The 19,697-nt window shown below is 45.3% G+C and overlaps 1 protein-coding gene across 7 annotated transcripts in view, besides 1 other annotated feature; it reads left to right on the forward strand.

The window, feature by feature from the left end:
• Positions 1 to 19,697, forward strand: part of STK32B (serine/threonine kinase 32B) — a 481,604-nt gene that overhangs the window by 139,565 nt on the left and 322,342 nt on the right. For all 7 annotated transcript variants that reach the window (XM_047415924.1, XM_047415925.1, NM_001306082.2 and 4 more), the window contains one exon: positions 9,349 to 9,500. In XM_047415924.1, coding sequence (XP_047271880.1) covers positions 9,349 to 9,500 — 152 coding nt within the window. The remainder of the gene's footprint in view (positions 1 to 9,348; positions 9,501 to 19,697) is intronic.
• Positions 6,396 to 7,595: an enhancer, noted in NCBI's record as "CDK7 strongly-dependent group 2 enhancer chr4:5167073-5168272 (GRCh37/hg19 assembly coordinates)". NCBI's record gives its function as "activates an origin of replication core promoter dependent on BRD2, BRD4, P300/CBP, MED14 and CDK7 cofactors, with strong dependence on CDK7, by STARR-seq in HCT116 cells {active_cell/tissue: HCT116}" and the evidence as "EXISTENCE:reporter gene assay evidence [ECO:0000049][PMID:35650434]".

Here is a 19,697-nt window from a genome sequence, read left to right on the forward strand (position 1 = left end):
TGGCACCAACCCTTTAAACATGTCATTCAAGCCATCTGTCACCTACCCCATCACTCACCTCTGTCATCTCATCTCAGTGACATCAGCTGTACAATGTTGCAAGTGAATACCAGCAAGCTTTGGCCAACACGGGCTAGAACTCACTGACAAGCGGCAGGAGGACACTGCTTCTCAGCTCCCCATGGGCAGGGCTGCTTGGCTGGAGCACGGCTGGGACACCGTAGAGCTGTGCTTACCAAGGGGGTGCCCCATGGTGCAGTCTCTCTGTGTACGCTGACTGAGGAAACGTATTTTGGAATCAAGTAACAAGCTGTTTGAGCTTTGTGTGCTCACACTCTTTAAGGGACTACGGAGAAATGCCAAATGCCAGTATGGTGGCTACAGTGGCTCCCTAGGCTGGTAGGAAGTTGAACTGAGGTACTGAATTCTGATCCTGGCTGGCTCATTACCAGATGTTTTACTCGAGGTTCTCTAGTGAAACAGAACCAATGGGGTGTAACTATATATATATATACACACACACATATATATGAATACATATGAATATATATATGAATATATATATGAATATATGATATATATGTATATATGTATATATATGAATATATATGAATGAATATATATGAATATATATATGAATATATATGAATATATATATGAATATATATGAATATATATGAATATATATATGAATGTATATGAATATATATATGAATGTATATGAATATATATATGAATATATATGAATATATATGAATATATATATGAATGTATATGAATATATATATGAATATATGAATGTATATGAATATATATATGAATATATGAATGTTTATGAATATATATATGAATATATATATGTTATTGGAGTTTGATTGATTTCGTTGATAAGATGATTATGGAAGCTGCCAAATGCAAATCTTTAGGATGAACAGTCAGGCTGGAGACGCAGGAAGGAGCTGAGCTGCAGATCAAGTCTGAAGGGCGTCTGCCGCAGAAACCCTTCCTCTCCTGGGAAGTCAGTCTTTTACTTCATTCAGGCCTTCAACAGGTTGGAGGAAGTCCATCCATATTACAGAGGGCAATCCTGTCTTCAAAGTCTACCAATTTAATATCAACCTCACCCCAAAACACCCGCACAGACACATTCAGAATGTTTGACCACATATCTGGGCACCATGGTGCAGCCCAGTTGACACAGAAAACTAACCATCACACCAGACAACCATGAGCCCGTTCCTGAGGCCCTTCTTGGGCCGCTTTGCACATCTCCACAATGTCCTGTGCCCTTCAGAAGAGAGATGGATGCTGATCACACAACCATAATGAACCGCATACTCAGTGCTTACCATGGAGCCTTTATAACTGCCCATTAAGGCAAATACCACTCTTATCCCCATTGTACAGATGAGGAAGTTGAGAAAACTACCAGTGTGTCAACACGTGCCACGGCATGTCTCATCTCTCTGAACTTCCACAGAGGCTGTGCCCTCTCCTGGTAACCCCCTTCCTTCTCCCCCTCCCCACACCTCTGTCCTCATGAGACCAACCCTTGGTGACTGTGCTAAGGTTCAGGTGCTACCTTTTCCGGATTGCCTTTCCCAAATCCCATATCTGGTTTAGGATCCCCCTTCTGGGGTCCCTTAGTCCCATGTGCTCACCTCTCCCGTGTGTTTTCTAAATAGTAATGACTCATTCATTCATTCAGCCACAGTTATCAGCTAGGTGCCTGCTATGTGCCAGACACTGAGGATGATGCAGTGAACGTAAGAGAAAAATCCCTGTTGTCATGGGGTTCACAACTCAGTAGGGGGAGTGGACAATGGATGCACGAAGCAGGAAGCATGTCCTGTGATGGGAGCACAGCAGAGAGGGAGGCTGGGGTGCTGGGGACGGCTTTGCCCCTTCACACAGGGAGGTCAGAGTTGGCTTAGTTGGTAACATGACCTGTGAGCACAGCCTGAAGGAGGCAAGGGCCCAAGACCTGTGGATGCCTGAGAACAGCATGGCAGGTACAGGGAAGGAGCAGAGGTCGCTGTGGGGAGTAGGAGGGGAACTGAGGCCAGCCCACTTAGGGCCTGGGGATCCACAGTGAAGGACTTTGGCCTTTACTCCTACATATTGTCTGATTATCCCATTATACCTCGGGTTCCCAGGGGAGAGTGATGTCCTCATGGCTGACATGGTACCAGGCCCATGGCACGCACCTAATACATGTTTATTGAGTGAAATACTCATCCAAGTAAGTATTTTTCTTGAGACCAACTTTTGATCCCTCCAATGAGACCACCATTGATGAGAGCCCACATGGGATTTATGTGCTGTGAAAAGTCATAATTTGTATATCAGTTGTGGACTCAGCAGCAAGGGACAAAAAACCTGCCTCATGGTGGCTTAAACAAAGAGGGGCTTATTTTTCTCACATAACAAGAAATCTGAAGGCAGGTGGCTCCATGATAGGAGGTTCAGCATCTCTGAGACTTTCTTGGCCTCATGATCACAAGGGGCTGCTGTTGTTCCAGACATTACATCCGTGTTCAAGGTAGGAAGGACAGGAAGAAAGTTGGAGAAGAGAAAAAGGTGAGACCATCTGTAGTTATTCTCTTTTGTACAGAACGCAAGACTTTCCCTAGAAACCTCTAGCAAACTAACATCTCCTTGGCTAGAACTGTGGCTGTTGCTGGCTGTAAGTGTGTATAGAACGGATCACATTGCTTTCTTGAAGTAAATGGTCCTGCTATAAAGGAGAAAAGGGGAGAGTGCATATTGGGTAGTAAAAAGCTTCATCCGCCAAACATAGTCTTCTTTCAGCGAATTATTTGAGCAATATAGTAGCCAGCTTGATCATCTCTTTAGTAACCATATTTAATTGTTTTTCTTCCCCCTACCCCCACCCACCCCAAATCGGTCATTTCCCAGAATCTTGCCCCTGCAAGCATAACCAGCATCTTTTAATGTCACACTGTAGCTGTTTATTCATTCAACAGTATTTACTGAGTGCTTCTCAAGCTGGGGGATGGTAGAGATGGGCAGCACAGAGAAGAACTAGCCCAGTGTCTGCCTCAGGTCCCGTTGATGGGGTAGAGTCAGACCCGCAGCTGCCCAGTAAGCAAGATGAGAAGAGGGCAGCCCAGGCTCACTATGAAAGGATCCTCGAGACTTTGCACCCCATAGTCCTGAGGTTCCAGCACAGCTCTAGCCTCTCTGTTCTGTACTCCTCTGTCCTCCTGGAGCCTGGGTTGCCTGAGCTGCTAACCAGCGATTAGAGCCCTGACCATAAAGGACACTGTGAAGACACCGAACGAGGACTTTCTTGAAGATTGCAGTGAAATCATTCTCAACTCTGGTTGTACTTCAGCCTTCCCTGGGATACATCTAAAAAAATACAAAATCCCAGGGCCTCCTAGAGCTTTGGGTGTGCTGCAGAATCGACATTGTCAGCGCCCGGAATATACTGTAAAGTCAGGACTGTGACCACCGCGTGCAGGTGTGTTGCAGGTTCTCAGTATGCTCCAGCCACCTTCTCCACTGACTCAGGATCCATTCCCAAATTTCTGATGCTCAGTGTGTTTGGCATGCCTTTCTTACAGCAAATCAGCTGAAATCCGTGCTAGCTAGCATTTATTTATTTGTCCCATTAAGTTGTAATTAATAATGATGACATCAGGTCCTAATTGAGTTAGACTAATGAGGAATGTTAATTGGGTGCTTGCCTTTCAGTAGCAGCTTGGGTGGCTTTGGCCAGATTGCTTGCTGTCACCTCATTAACTGTGATTTCCTGTGGAAAAAGGCTCTGAGCAGCCCTGCCAAGGACCCCAAACTTAGGCGAGGTGCCACTTGAGACCTAGCTCTTCTATTTTGAAGTTGAAGGTTCCCAGGACCTGGATAGAGTTTGCTGTTGGTGACAAGTGTTCAGCTTCCTTCTAGAACACCTGTTGTGAGCTTGTGAGGCCAAAATGCTACATCAGTTTCAGCAGATCCCTCAATCACATGGTTGTCATGGGATTTTGAGCAGGGAAGAACGGAAGCCTCTTCCTACACTGTACACATGGAATCACTGAGGACCACTGACCTGCTCTGGGCCATGTGGGACATGATAGACCGAGCATGTATGAAATTCAGCTGCTTTGAGGATTCAGACTTGGAGGTCAGGGCCAGGGAAGCATTGAGGTCAGGCAGTAGCGGGTAAGGAGTGGGACAGGAGAAGGCTTGCAGGGAAGGTATTCCAGGCAGAGTACGTGAAATATGCTAATGTGGAGAGTCATGAGTGAAGGTGACACTTTCACATGTGTGAGCCCCTGAACAGGAACTGAGTTGGCAAGGCCTCTGTCTGCAGGGTGCTTGGAGTCTGACTGCCAGATAAAAACGGGGATTTATAATACAGTGTGTCAAGCCTTACAGTAGAAACAGGATTTATGGCAGCTTAGTGGGAAGGGCACCGCATACAGCTTCAAGGATTAAAGGGAAGTTTCTGAAAGATGTAAATTGGGTGGCAGTAGGTCAGGGAAGGAGGTAACAAGGGCAGGAGAGGTTGGTGATAGAGAAACTCTTCAAAGAAATTCTAAAGAGTTTGAGATAGAGTGAAGGCTGTGTGTGTGTGTGTGTGTGTGTGTGTGTGTGTGTGTGTGTGTAAGAGAGAGAGAGAGATGTTGGAGGGGACAAGGTCTTTGAATGCCAAGACCTTGACCTCAAACATTTTCTGAAGGCAAAAGAATGCCCTTGCAGGCTTTAAGTCTTTGATTTTTCAGACATTCTCACCAGGCAAAAGGATATCTGCAGAGACCAGAGCAGAGGTGGGGTAGCCAGTTTGGAAGCTATCAGTAAATTCTCCCTATTTCTGAAATTCCAAACATTAAACCTTAAACTACCAGAAATCACTGTATTTACAGGGACCCATGGAGAGAGGACACTTTGCGAGAGGCTAAGGGTTTGGTTCCAGGCATCAGTCTACCCCTCACTCCACCAGCCTGTGTTTCCTGCTCCTCCGCATGGGCCACATGCTATGGCTGGCTCTTCCCACTCTGTCCCATGGAGACCCGACTGTGGACCTGGTAGGGCCGGTTCTGTAGACCCATTTCACAGTAGAGGAAACTGAGGACTACAGAGTGTTTGGCCAGGTTATTTAGCCCCTGGTGGGTGGCAGTGGTGGACCCTTATAGATTGTGATAACTTCCTAAACCAGGTAGCTTAAAACAGTGGAAATTTATTATCTTACAGTTTCGAAGGCCAGAAGTCTTGAATCCAGCTGTGGGCAGGGTAGATTCCTTCTAGAGGCTCTGAAGGTGGGTCTGTCCCATGCCATCACCCAGCTTCTGGTGCTGCTGGCCAGCCTCGGCATTCCTTGGCTTGTAGATTCATCACTCCAACCTCTGCATCCGTCCTCACATAGCCTTCCGCCTGGATGTGTCTCCTCCCCTTCTCTTCTCTTCTAAGGACGCTTGTCATTTGGTTTGGGCCCGTCCTAATCCAGGTTGATCTCATCCTGAGATCCTTAACTTAATTACATCTGCAAAGACCCCTATCCAAATAAGAGCACTGTCTTAGTCCGCCTGGGCTGCTATCACACATGCCGCAGACTGGGTGTCTAAAAGAACAAAGATTTATTTCTCCCAGTTCTAGAGGCTGCAAGTCCCACATTAAGGTGGCAGCATGGTCAGATTCTGGAGTGGGCCCTTTTCCAGGTTGCAGGCTGCTAGCTTTACACTGTATTATCACAGGGTGAACAGCAGGATCTCCGATGAGCAGAATGAGGCTCAGAGAGGGTGGGCGACTTGCCTATGGTCACACAGCAAACAGCTGGAATTTAAGCCCTGCTCAGGAGTAGCCCCTGAGCTCAAACTCTCTGTGACTCTGTGACTCCCTGGAAGACCCACCCGTTGGAGACCCACTTGTCTCCACTCAGTGCATTAGATTTAGCTTAGCTCTTTGTTTTTTGTTTTTTTCTCTTTTAGCCTCTATCTCCTGGTCAGGTTAATTAAGCTGTTGTTACCAACCCTTCTTGGTCAGTGAGGAAGCAAGTCCAGAGCGGCTGAGGTTTGTGCACAGCCCCACTCAATCTGCAAGAGGGCTAGGCCCAGAGCCCAGTTTTCCTGACTCCTGGTGTAGCTCTCTTTGCTCTGTGTTCCTGAGAAACAGAATTTTTCTGAGGTGCCTTAGATAGCATGAGGTCTTAGCCCTGAATTTACCGAGGAGGTAGTCAAGGCCCAGATGATGAATGGATGCCAGCCACACTCAGGTCTCTGCATCAAGCTGGCCAAGACCCCTGATCCTTGGCCTCTCTTATTTGCAAATCAAAACTTCCAGGCTGCATCCAATATCCTGTATCAACCGCCTGCTTTTGCTTGTATTGAAAAGTCAAACTTCCAAGCTCTATTGAAATCATGAGTTCTCCTTTGAAAGCCAGTTTTAATTTAATTTTGGAGAGTCTCTTCCAATTCCTAAAATGTCTCTGAGCTGAGGTGAGAGCTGTCCCTTGAAACCCAGAAGCGCCATGGATGTCTTTATCTGAAGGGACGCAGCCCCGGGGACGCTACACAGACTGTCTCCCAGCCTAAGCTTTTCACAGCGATGCAGCCAGCTGACAGCCAGGTCCCAGCCCCGCAGAGGCAGTGCCTGCTGTCTCTTCTGAGAAGGCGAATGAGAAGTGAGAGAGACCACAAATTCTAATTAGTGGGATTATCCTCCCACGACATGTCTGGCTTCAGACATGGGTCTCAGAGCCTGGTGCCCGGGCCTCCAGAAGTCTTTGCTTGGATTCCCACAAAGCCAGGACCCCTGAGGTACGTTTGCACGTCATACCTTTGCCTCCTTGCATTTTATATTCTCACGTTCACTACTGGAAATGGGTGTTCTGTGGGCCTTCGACCTCATGCCGTAAATTTTACTCTGTGGAAAAAACATCTTTTTGGAGATTTCATGCAACGTGCTATCTAATACATTGAGATGCAGTTGACATTTATCGTCCCTCAGTGCCGCCTGGCACTCCCACTTCCTGCTCCTGTTTGGTTTCACCCCAGTGGTGCCGGGTGGGTTTTGCTGACTCAGTTCAGAAATATGCGGAGACTGAGGCCAAGAGAGGCACAAAGAACCAAAGCTGGAGTCGGAAATCAGGCTTCTGCCATCGTCCTGTATCTGCCTTGAATAGATTTGCAACGTGTCAGAGCTGAGTGGGGTCAATTTCCAACAGAAGAGAGGCTGTGACACCAGGAGAAAACCCCGAGTTCCTTCGCTGGGTCCTCAAGCCAACAGCGTTATTGCCGGCGTGTCCCATTTCTCAGGAAGGCCACACTGTGGGTGAAAAGTGACAGCTGGGGAGGCAGAGAGCCTGGGTTTGAGTTGAGCCTCGAGAAAGCACTAAAACCTTTCTAGGCCTCACTTTCCTCTCTCTGTGAAGCGGGGATAGTAATAGTCATTGTCCTTGATGGAACGGTGTCCCACCCCTCCAAATTCAACTCCTCCTGGAACCTCAGAATGTGGCCTTCTTTGGAAATGGCGTCATTTTAAGTGTAATTAGTTAAGATGAAGTCATACTAGATGAGAGTGGGCCTAAGTCTACTCTGACTGGTGTCCTTATAAGAAGATGAATGACACAGAGACGTAGGGGAGGATGCCATGTGACAACAGAGCCTAGGACGGAAGAGCTGCAGCTGCAAGCTAAGGGCACCAGGGGTTGCTGGAGCTGCCCAACTCTGGAAGAGGCAGAGGAGGATCCCCCCAGGAGCCTTCAGAGGGGGCAGGACCCTGCTGACACCTTGGTTTTGGACTCCCAGCCCTCAGAACTATGAGCCAATAAATTTCTGTTGTTTAAATCCCCCAGTTTGAGGTACTGTTACAGCAACCTGAGGAACCCACACAATCCCTTATCGAGGTGTTGGGAAGATTAGCCCATACAATCCTTGCTAACCGTCCAAGGAACCAATACAGTCCCTCCTCGGCGTGTTGGGAAGACTAGCTCATACAATCCTTGCTAACTGTCCAAGGAACCAATACAGTCCCTCCTCGGGGTGTTGGGAAGACTAGCTCATACAATCCTTGCTAACTGTCCATGCCACATGTGCATGTCAGCCCTGCTCACTTTTCCTGCTGTGCTTGCTGTGTCTCCTCGGCTCCACGCCCTCCGTTACAGGATTCCCTTTCCCTCAAAGCCTCTTCCTTCACCCTTACCATCTTCCCATCCTTTAGAGCTTGCCCCCTGGTTTTGATCCTGCGGAGAGCCTTCTCTGACAGCTCCCATCCTCCCACCTTGCCCCCAACTGCCCCCAGGTAAGGCAGTCGCTCAGAAGTCCAGGCCTCATGGATTTGAACCCCCACCCTGCCACTTGGTGGTTTGTTGAACTCTGAACAAGTTAATTAGTACACTTGGGGCTACAGCTCCCTCATGCTTTATCCATAAGGTTCTTATAGGGATTCAGTGAGATGGTCAAGGAGATGATTTGCTCAGTGTCTGACCTGCAGTAAAGTGCTCAATACAGGACCACTGTCATCATAGCTGTCCCCAGCTTCTCCTGTGCTCCCCCAGAACCCATGTGCCTGAGTTTGGGTTTCCCCAGAATCAGGCTCCAAGGCAAAGATTTGAGGACAGGGCATGGGAGAGGCAGAAAGAACACAGAGAAGGGTAGGAAGGAAGACAGCCAGGAAAGGGTGTGCTGTGTTAAGCTTGTTACCCCACTGTGGGGCTAGGCAAACTTACAAACTCCGGGAGCCAGTGTAAACACTGGCATCAGCCTCATCCCAGGTGACGGGCAAGGGAGTGGGGGTACTGATACTCCCGTTTCTAACAGTCGTGGATCGAATGTTGCTCTGAGGACATTAATTCCCTGGCTTGGCTGGTCTGCTACATGGGCAGCAAAGTGGGCCCTACTGGCAAAAGAGAGTCCTCAGGGAGAGAAATGCAGGACTGGTGGATGGAAGTCAGGCAGGTAGGTGCAGAAGTGGGAAAGGTGAGGAGATTCAGGTGGGCACAGACGGAGTCTGCGACACTCGTGCACGCCACACATCTCAGGGTTATAGTCACTGGTGCTTTTTGCATTTATCTATTTTCCTCGTGGGCTGTGAGCCCCTTGAGGGCAGGCCTGCTTCTTCCATCTTCTGTGTTTGCATCTCCTCTTTCAACACTTAGTACATGGCCAGTGCTCATGTCAATGTTTAATAAATGGATGAATCTGGTCCAACTCCTCCATTCTGCAGATGCAGAGAGGTTGTGCCTAACTTAGCAGAGCTGCTCCCCTAGCAGATTTCAAGAACAGGGACGTGAATCCAGAAGTAAAAATGCAGTGCGGGGTGACATTTCTCCTTTGTCTCCCTTTTCGATTGTTGGCCTGACTGTTCTCTCCTTTGGCTGTCGCTCAGGTATGCATCGTGCAGAAGCGAGACACTAAGAAAATGTATGCAATGAAGTACATGAACAAGCAGAAGTGCATCGAGAGGGATGAGGTTCGGAATGTTTTCCGGGAGCTGCAGATCATGCAAGGGCTGGAGCACCCCTTCCTGGTCAATCTGTGGTGAGTGTGGCTCCATCCAGGGCTCCTGTGGGTTCCCCTGTGGGGAGCCAAATGCAAATTCGCCTCTGCTAGAGGGACTCTTCCGCATTGTAAAGGGAAAGGGATGCAATTTTCTGGGTTCAGTTATTCTTAAGTATTTTGTAGAGTACATTTTCTGATGAAGTCTATAGGCATATGTTTCATTTTCATTTTAATTCTGTCCTCTTATCTGATGAATCAGAGTTGAAAATAAATGGAGAAGTGTTTTGCGTATTTGAGAAGATACGTGGAACGTTATAAGAGAATGCCGAAGATAGGCTACTAAAGGGAGTGGGGAGCTCAGTGTTTCAGAAAGTCACAGCCATACAGCTGATGGCAGGAAGGGCAACTGGAAACCAGTATTCTACTTCAGTACAGATGGCTGCCCATCACGGACGTACCAAATTCGGAATTCTCTATCCTGCCCCCAAAACCTGCCATCACCCATGTTTCAGAACTTTCACTCCAACCCGTCCTTGGCTATTATCTTCACTTTAAATGTGCATCCTAGAAACACATCCTGTTGGTGGTTCCCTGCCTCTGTGCTTTTGCGTGTGAAATATCTTCCTAAAACACTCACGTCCCCTTCTCCAGTGTCCCCTAACCAACACCTGTGCATTCCTGGCACCCAGCTTAGGAAACCCTTAGGTCAAGAGCCCTTGAAGACCCACAGGCCAGCTGAGTGCCCCTCGCGACCTCAGTCTTCTCCTGTGTTTGACCTAATGCCATCTTTATCACAGTGAACCCAGGTTATTGGGTTACTTATCTGTCCTCACACAGAAATTGCTTGTTTCTGGGTAGTCTAACACAGTATCTGACACATTGGAGGGACTTAGCAAATGTTTCCTAAGCTGGATTGTGTTGAAGGGGAGAGGGAGGACAGGCCGCTTTAGGAAACAAATTCTGACCATTTCATTCAGCGGATCAGTTGACCCACTGACCTTAAGAGTTGGGATGGCCACCCTGGAGGGGTAAGTCTAGCTTTGCACATACTTGACCACCACTGATTTCAGTTGCCCTGCACACTTAGAAGCACTTTGAACATTGGATGATAGGAGAACAAAGAGGAACACAGATTGTCCCATCTGAGAAAATCAAGGTGTGCGTGCCAGGTGCCACAGACATGGGCATTGCCATGGAGAAAACCCAAACCAAACCTTGTCTGCTGGAGTCTCAGTATCCACCGAGAGTTCTTCGTGTCTCTGTGCAGTGATCTAAAAACTTTGATTGTTTGGGAGAAATAAACCCCGTCATGTTTTGATTGCTATGCAAGGGAATTTTCTAAAGTAAATCTTTAATCCGAACAGCAATATGTGTTCTTGGCAAAATATAGAAAATAAAATACGTCAGAAAACAAAAATTACCCAGAAGCTCTTCAGACTCAGATTAAATTTTGGTGTGTAATTATTTTTATACTCCTTTTCTTGTATTTTTTTTCATATCAATGACATATAACTGTATGTGTTATTGATATATAAACATTCAGAGAAATTTTGTATTCCATTTTCTGAATTAATATCTGGCGGGAGCGCTACCTCCTTGTTACTGCAAACTCTTTGTAAATCATTTTTAATGGCTACATAATATTCCACTAAGGAAAAGCACAATAAGCCATCTAATCGAACCTTCATTCTGTCATGTGGGTTACTTGGGCTGTTTCTAATTATTTTGCCAATGTAAATACTGCTGAGATGATTATCTCTGAACCTGAAGTTTTTCAGGTGGGACTCCTTAAGGTGGACTAAGAAGATCAGATGCCTAGTGGAGCTTGTATGATGTATGTTAAAGGAAAGGAATGTGTTGGAGTAGCCTTTACTTAGGCACCTTTTTTTATTTTTATTTTTATTTTTATTATTATACTTTAAGTTTTAGGGTACATGTGCACAACGTGCAGGTTTGTTACATATGTATACATGTGACTTGTTGGTGTGCTGCACCCATTAACTCGTCATTTAACATTAGGTATATCTCCTAATGCTATCGCTCCCCCGTCCCCCCACCCCACAACAGTCTCTGGAGTGTGATGTTCCCCTTCCTGTGTCCATGTGTTCTCATTGTTCAATACCCACCTATGAGTAAGAACATGCAGTGTGTGGTTTCTTGTCCTCGTGATAGTTTGCTGAGAATGATGGTTTCCAGCTTCATCCATGTCCCTACAAAGGACATGAACTCATCATTTTTAATGGCTGCATAGTATTCCATGGTGTATATGTGCCACATTTTCTTAATCCAGTCTATCATTGTTGGACATTTGGGTTGGTTCCAAGTCTTTGCTATTGTGAATAGTGCCGCAGTAAACATACGTGTGCATGTGTCTTTATAGCAGCATGATTTATAATCCTTTGGGTATATACCCAGTAATGGGATGGCTGGGTCAAATGGTATTTGTAGTTCTAGATCCCTGAGGAATCGCCACATTGACCTCCACAATGGTTGAACTAGTTTACAGTCCCACCAACAGTGTAAAAGTCCTATTTCTCCACATCCTCTCCAGCACCTGTTGTTTCCTGACTTTTTAATGATCTCCATTCTAACTGGTGTGAGATGGTATCTCATTGTGGTTTTGATTTGTATTTCTCTGATGACCAGTGATGATGAGCATTTTTTCATGTGTTTTTTGGCTGCATAAATGTCTTCTTTTGAGAAGTGTCTGTTCATATCCTTTGCCCACTTTTTGATGGGGTTGTTTGTTTTTTTCTTGTAAATTTGTTTGAGTTCATTGTAGATTCTGGATATTAGCCCTTTGTCAGATGAGTAGGTTGCGAAAATTTTCTCCCATTCTGTAGGTTGCCTGTTCACTCTGATGGTGGTTTCTTTTGCTGTGCAGAAGCTCTTTAGTTTAATGAGATCCCATTTGTCAATTTTGGCTTTTGTTGCCATTGCTTTTGGTGTTTTAGACATGAAGTCCTTGCCCATGCCTATGTCCTGAATGGTATTGCCTAGGTTTTCTTCTAGGGTTTTTATGGTTTTAGGTCTAACATGTAAGTCTTTAATCCATCTTGCATTAATTTTTGTATAAGGTACAAGGAAGGTGTCCAGTTTCAGCTTTCTCCATATGGCTAGCCAGTTTTCCCAGCACCATTTATTAAGTAGGGAATCCTTTCCCCATTGCTTGTTTTTCTCAGGTTTGTCAGAGATCAGATAGTTGTAGATACATGGCATTATTTCTGAGGGCTCTATTCTGTTCCATTGGTCTGTATCTCTGTTTTGGTACCAGTTGCATTCTGTCTTGGTTACTGTAGCCTTGTAGTATGGTTTGAAGTCAGGTAGCGTGATGCCTCCAGCTTTGTTCTTTTGGCTTAGGATTGACTTGGCAATGTGGGCTCTGTTTTGGTTCCATATGAACTTTAAAGTAGTTTTTTCCAATTCTGTGAAGAAAGTCATTGGTAGCTTGATGGGGATGGCATTGAATCTATAAATTACCTTGGGCAGTATGGCCATTTTCACGATGTTGATTCTTCCTACCCATGAGCATGGAATGTTCTTCCATTTGTTTGTATCCTCTTTTATTTCATTGAGCAGTGGTTTGTAGTTCTCCTTGAAGAGGTCCTTCACATCCCTTGTAAGCTGGATTCCTAGGTATTTTATTCTCTTTGAAGCAATTGAGAATGGGAGTTAACTCATGATTTGGCTCTCTGTTTGTCTGTTGTTGGTGTATAAGAATGCTTGTGATTTTTGTACATTGATTTTGTATCCTGAGACTTTGCTGAAGTTGCTTATTAGGTTAAGGAGATTTTGGGCTGAGACAATGGGGTTTTCTAGATATACAATCATGTCGTCTGCAAACAGGGACAATTTGACTTCCTCTTTTCCTAATTGAATACCCTTTATTTCCTTCTCCTGCCTGATTGCCCTGGCCAGAACCTCCAACACTATGTTGAATAGGAGTGGTGAGAGAGGGCATCCGTGTCTTGTGCCAGTTTTCAAAGGGAATGCTTCCAGTTTTTGTCCATTCAGTATGATATTGGCTGTGGGTTTGTCATAGATAGCTCTTATTATTTTGAGATATGTCCCATCAATACCTAATTTATTGAGAGTTTTTAGCATGAAGGGTTGTTGAATTTTGTCAAAGGCCTTTTCTGCATCTATTGAGATAACCATGTGGTTTTTGTCTTTGGTTCTGTTTATATGCTGGATTACGTTTATTGATTTTCATATGTTGAACTAGCCTTGCATCCCAGGGATGAACCCCACTTGATCATGGTGGATAAGCTTTTTGATGTGCTGCTGGATTCGGTTTGCCAGTATTTTATTGAGGATTTTTGCATCAAGGTTCATCAAGGATATTGGTCTAAAATTCTCTTTTTTGGTTGTGTCTCTGCCAGGCTTTGGTATCAGGATGATACTGGCCTCATAAAATGAGTTAGGGAGGATTCTGTCTTTTTCTATTGATTGGAATAGTTTCAGAAGGAATGGTACCAGTTCCTCCTTGTACCTCTAGTAGAATTCGGCTGTGAATCCGTCTGGTCCTGGAATTTTTTTAGTTGGTAAGCTATTAATTATTGCCTCAATTTCAGATCCTGTTATTGGTCTATTCAGAGATTCAAATTCTTCTTGATTTAGTCTTGGGAGAGTGTATGTGTCGAGGAATTTATCCATTTCTTCTAGATTTTCTAGTTTATTTGCGTAGAGGTGTTGATAGTATTCTCTGATAGTAGTTTGTATTTCTGTGGGATCGGTGGTGATATCCCCTTTGTCATTTTTATTGTGTCTATTGGATTCTTCTCTCTTTTCTTCTTTATTAGTCTTGCAGTCTATCAATTTTGTTGATCTTTCAAAAAACCAGCTCCTGGATTCATTGATTTTTTGAAGGTTTTTTTGTGTCTCTATTTCCTTCAGTTCTGCTCTGATCTTAGTTATTTCTTGCCTTCTCCTAGCTTTTGAATGTGTTTGATCTTGCTTCTCTAGTTCTTTTAATTGTGATGTTAGCGTGTCAATTTTGGATCTTTCCTGCTTTCTCTTGTGGGCATTTAGTGCTATAAATTTGCCTCTACACACTGCTTTGAATGTGTCCCAGAGATTCTGGTATGTTGTGTCTTTGTTCTCATTGGTTTCAAAGAACATCTTTATTTCTGCCTTCATTTCGTTATGTACCCAGTAGTCATTCAGGAGCAGGTTGTTAAGTTTCCATGTAGTTGAGCGGTTTTGAGTGAGTTTCTTAATCCTGAGTTCTAGTTTGATTGCACTGTGGTCTGAGAGACAGTTTGTTATAGTTTCTGTTCTTTTACATTTGCTGAGGAGTGCTTTACTTCCAACTATGTGGTCAATTTTGGAATAGGTGTGGTGTGGTGCTGAAAAGAATGTATATTCTGTTGATTTGGGGTGGAGAGTTCTGTAGATGTCTATTAGGTCTCCTTGGTGCAGTGCTGAGTTCAATTCCTGGATATCCTTGTTAACTTTTTGTCTCATTGATCTGTCTAATGTTGACAGTGGGATGTTAAAGTCTCCTATTATTATGGTGTGGGAGTCTAAGTCTCTTTGTAGGTCACTAAGGACTTGCTTTATAAATCTGGGTGCTCCTGTATTGGGTGCATATATATTTAGGGTAGTTAGTTCTTGTTGAATTGATCCCTTTACCATTATGTAATGGCCTTCTTTGTCTCTTTTGATCTTTGTTGGTTTAAAGTCTGTTTTATCTGAGACTAGGATTGCAACCCCTGCCTTTTTTTGTTTTCCATTTTCTTGGTCGATCTTCCTCCATCTTTCTATTTTGAGCCTATGTGTGTCTCTGCATGTGAGATGGGTTTCCTGAATACAGGACACTGATGGGTCTTGACTCTTTATCCAGTTTGCCAGTTTGTGTTTTTTAATTGGAGCATTTAGCCCATTTACATTTAAGGTTAATATTGTTATGTGTGAATTTGATCCTGTCATTATGATGTTAGCTGGTTATTTTGCTCGTTAGTTGATGCAGTTTCTTCCTAGCCTCGATGGTCTTTACAATTTGGCATGTTTTTGCAGTGGCTGATACCGGTTGTTCTTTTCCATGTTTAGTGCTTCCTTCAGGAGCTCTTTTAGGGCAGGCCTGGTGGTGACAAAATCTCTCAGCATTTGTTTGTCTGTGAATTATTTTATTTCTCCTTCACTTATGCAGCATAGTTTGGCGGGATATGAAATTCTGGGTTGAAAATTCTTTTATTTAAGAATGTTGAATATTGGCCTCCACTCTCTTCTGGCTTGTAGAGTTTCTGCCGAGAGATCAGCTGGTAGGTTGATGGGCTTCCCTTTGTGGGTAACCCGACCTTTCTCTCTGGCTGCCCTTAACATTTTTTCCTTCATTTCAACTTTGGTGAATCTGACAATTATGTATCTTGGAGTTGCTCTTCTCGAGGAGTATCTTTTTGGCATTCTCTGTGTTTCCTGAATTTGAATGTTGGCCTGCCTTGCTAGATTGGGGAAGTTCTCCTGGATAATATCCTGCAGAGTGTTTTCCAACTTGGTTCCATTTTCCCTGTCACTTTCAGGTACACCAATCAGATGTAGATTTGGTCTTTTCACATAGTCCCATATTTCTTGTAGGCTTTGTTAGTTTCTTTTATTCTTTTTTCTCTAAAGTTCCCTTCTCGCTTCATTTCATTCATTTCATCTTCCATCGCTGATACCCTTTCTTCCCGTTGATTGCAACGGTTACTGAGGCTTGTGCATTCGTCACGTAGTTCTCGTGCCGTGGTTTTCAGCTCCATCAGGTCCTTTAAGGACTTCTCTGCATTGGTTATTCTAGTTAGCCATTCGTCTAATTTTTTTTTTCAAGTTTTTTAACTTCTTTGCCGTTGCTTCAAACTTCCACCTTCAGCTCGGAGTAGTTTGATCTTCTGAAGCCTTCTTCTCTCAACTCGTCAAAGTTATTCTCTGTCCAGCTTTGTTCCATTGCTGGTGAGGAGCTGCGTTCCTTTGGAGGAGAAGAGGCACTCTGATTTTTAGAGTTTCCAGTTTTTCTGCTCTGTTTTTTCCTCATCTTTTTGGTTTTATCTACCTTTGGTCTTTGACGATGGTGATGTACAGATGGGTTTTTGGTGTGGATGTCTTTCTGTTTTTTAGTTTTCCTTCTAACAGTCAGGACCCTCAGCTTTAGGTCTGTTGGAGTTTAATGGAGGTCCACTCCAGACCCCGTTTCCCTGGGTATCAGCAGCAGTGGCTGCAGAACAGCAGGTATTGGTGAACCGCAAATGCTGCTGCCTGATCGTTCCTCTGGAAGTTTTGTCTCAGAGGAGTACCCGGCCGTGTGAGGTGTCAATCTGCCCCTACTGGGGGGTGCCTCCCAGTTAGGCTACTTGGGGATCAGGGACCCACTTGAGGAGGCCGTCTGCCTGTGCTCATATCTCCAGCTGCATGCTGGGAGAACCACTACTCTGTTCAAAGCTGTCAGACAGGGACATTTAAGTCTGCAGAGGTTACTGCTGCCTTTTGTTTGTCTTTGCCCTGCCCCCAGAGGTGGAGCCTACAGAGGCAGGCAGGCCTCCTTGAGCTGTGGTGGGCTCCACCCACTCGAGCTTCCCAGCTGCTTTGTTTACCTACGCAAGCCTTGGCAATGGTGGGCGCCCCTCCCCAAGCCTCGCTGTGGCCTTGCAGTTAGATCTCAGACTGCTGTGCTAGCAATGAGCGAGGCTTTGTGGGTGTAGGACCCTCTGAGCCATGTGCGGGATATAATCTCCTGGTGTGCCGTTTGTTGCGCCCATTGGAAAAGCGTAGTATTAGGGTGGGAGTGACCCGATTTTCCAGGTGCCGGCTGTTACCCCTTTCTTTGTCTGGGAAAGGGAATTCTCTGACCCGTTGCACTTCCCAGGTGAGGCGATGCCTCGCCCTGCTTTGGTTCACGCATGGTGTGCTGCACCCACTGTTCTGCACCCACTGTCCGGCACTCCCCAGTGAGATGAACCCGGTACCTCAGTTCGAAATGCAGAAATCACCGGTCTTCTGCGTTGCTTACATTGGGAGCTGTAGACTGGAGCTGTTCCTATTCGGCCATCATCTTTTTTTTTTTTTTTTTTTTTTAAGATGGAGTTTCACTCTTGTCACCCAGGCTGGAGTGCAATGGTGCAATCTCGGCTCATTGCAACCTCCACCTCCAAGGTTTAAGTGATTCTCCTTCCTCAAACTCCCAAGTAGCTGGGATTACAAGCGCCTGCCACCACACGCAGTTAATTTTTGTGTTCTTAGTAAAGACAGGATTTCACCACATTGGCCAGGCTGGTCTCAAGCTCCTGACCTCAGGTGATCTGCCCACCTCAGCCTCCCAAAGTACTGGGATTACAAGCATGAGTCACTGTGCCCAGCCTTAGGCACCATTTCTTGATCCTCTGTTCATGGTCCTCAAGACACCAACAGATTAGTGACAGATGCCCTTTGGTTACATGACAGGGCTGGGTATATAAGAAAATTATCTGCAAATGTCAGCCTCTGGTGGCTTTTATTTTATTTCTATCATAAGCAAGAAAGGGGTGAGCCTACTGCTTGACTTTGGAGTCACCCCTCAGACTCTCTGGGCCTCAACTTCCTCACTTGTCATAATGACATTATAATGCCTTGTTTACCGCTAGGAGTGTTTTGAGAATTAACTGAAAAGAAGACATGAAAGTATATTTTCTGTAAGTAAAAATATTGTTCACCGTAAGAGGTTATATATGTGTGTATGTGTATTAGTTCACTCTTATACTGCTATAAAGAACTGCCCAAGACTGGGTGATTTATAAAGGAAAGAAGTTTAATTGACTCACAGTTCTGCGTGGCTGGGGAGGCCTCAGGAAACTTATAATCAGGGCAGAAGGCAAAGGAGAAGCCGGCACCTTCTTCACAGGGCAGCAGGATGGAGTGAGTGCCAGTGGGGAAAATGTCAGATGCTTATAAAACTATCAGATCTTATGAGAACTCAGTATCACCAGAACAGCATGGGGGAAACCACCCTCATGATTTAATTGCCTCCCACTAGGTCCCTCCCATGACATGTGGGCATTATAGGGATTACAGTTCACGATGCGACTTGAGTGGGGACACAGCCAAACCATATCATTCTGCCCCTGGTCCCTCCCAGATCTCATGTCCTCACATTTCAAAGCACAATCATGCCTTCCCAACAGTCCCCCAAAGTCTTAACTTATTCCGGCATTAACTCAAAAGTCCAAGTCCAAAGTCTCATCTGCGACAAGGCAAGTCCCTTCCACCTATGAGCCTGTAAAATCAAAAGCAAGTTAATTACTTCCTAGATACAATAGGGTACAGGTATTAGGTAAATATACCCATTCCAAATGGGAGAAATTGGCCAAAACAGGGGGGCTACATGCCCCACACAAGTCCAAAATCCAACAGGGCAGTCATTAAACCTTTAAGTTCCAAAATGATCTCCTTTGACTTCATGCCTCACATCCAGGTCATGATGATGCAAGAGTTGGGCTCCCCAGGCCTTGGGCAGCTCTGCCTCTGTGGCTTTGCAGGGTACAGCCTCCTTCCCAGCTGTTTTCACAGGCTGGCACTGAGTATCTGTGACTTTTCCAGGTGCATGGTCCAATTTGTCAGTGTATCTGCCATTCTGGGGTCTGGAGGACAGTGGCTGTCTTCTTACAGCTCCACTAGGCAGTGCCCCAGTGGGGACTCTGTGTGGGGGCTCTGCTCCCACATTTCCCTTCTGCATTGCCCTAGCAGAGGTTCTCCATAAGGGCTCTGCCCCTGCAGCAGACTTCTGCTTGGAGATCCAAGTGTTTCTATACATCCTCTGAAATCTAGGCAGAGGTTCACAAACCTCAGTTCTTGATTTCTATGCATCCATATGCCCAACACCACATGTAAGCCACCAAGGCTTGGGGCTTGCACCCTCTGAAACAACAGCCTGACCTGAACTTTGGCCTTTCTTAGCTACAGCTGGGACACAGGTCACCAGCTTTCAAGACTGCACAAAAAACAAGGCCCTGGGCCTGGCCCATGAAACTATTTTTCCCCCATAGGCCTCTGGGCCTGTGATGGGAGGGGCTGCTGTGAAGGTCTCTGACATGTCCTGGAGACATTTTCCCCATTGTCTTGGTGATCAGCATTTGGCTCCTCATTACTTATGCAAATTTCTACAGCCGCCTTGAATTTCTTCCCCGAAAATGGGTTTTTCTTTTCTGTCACGTTTTCAGTTTGCACATTTTCCAAACGTTTATGCTCTGCATCCTCTTGAACATTTTGCTGCTTAGAAATTTCTTCTGC

Source organism: Homo sapiens, chromosome 4 (assembly GCF_000001405.40).
Source record: "Homo sapiens chromosome 4, GRCh38.p14 Primary Assembly".
Lineage (NCBI taxonomy): Eukaryota > Metazoa > Chordata > Mammalia > Primates > Hominidae > Homo > Homo sapiens.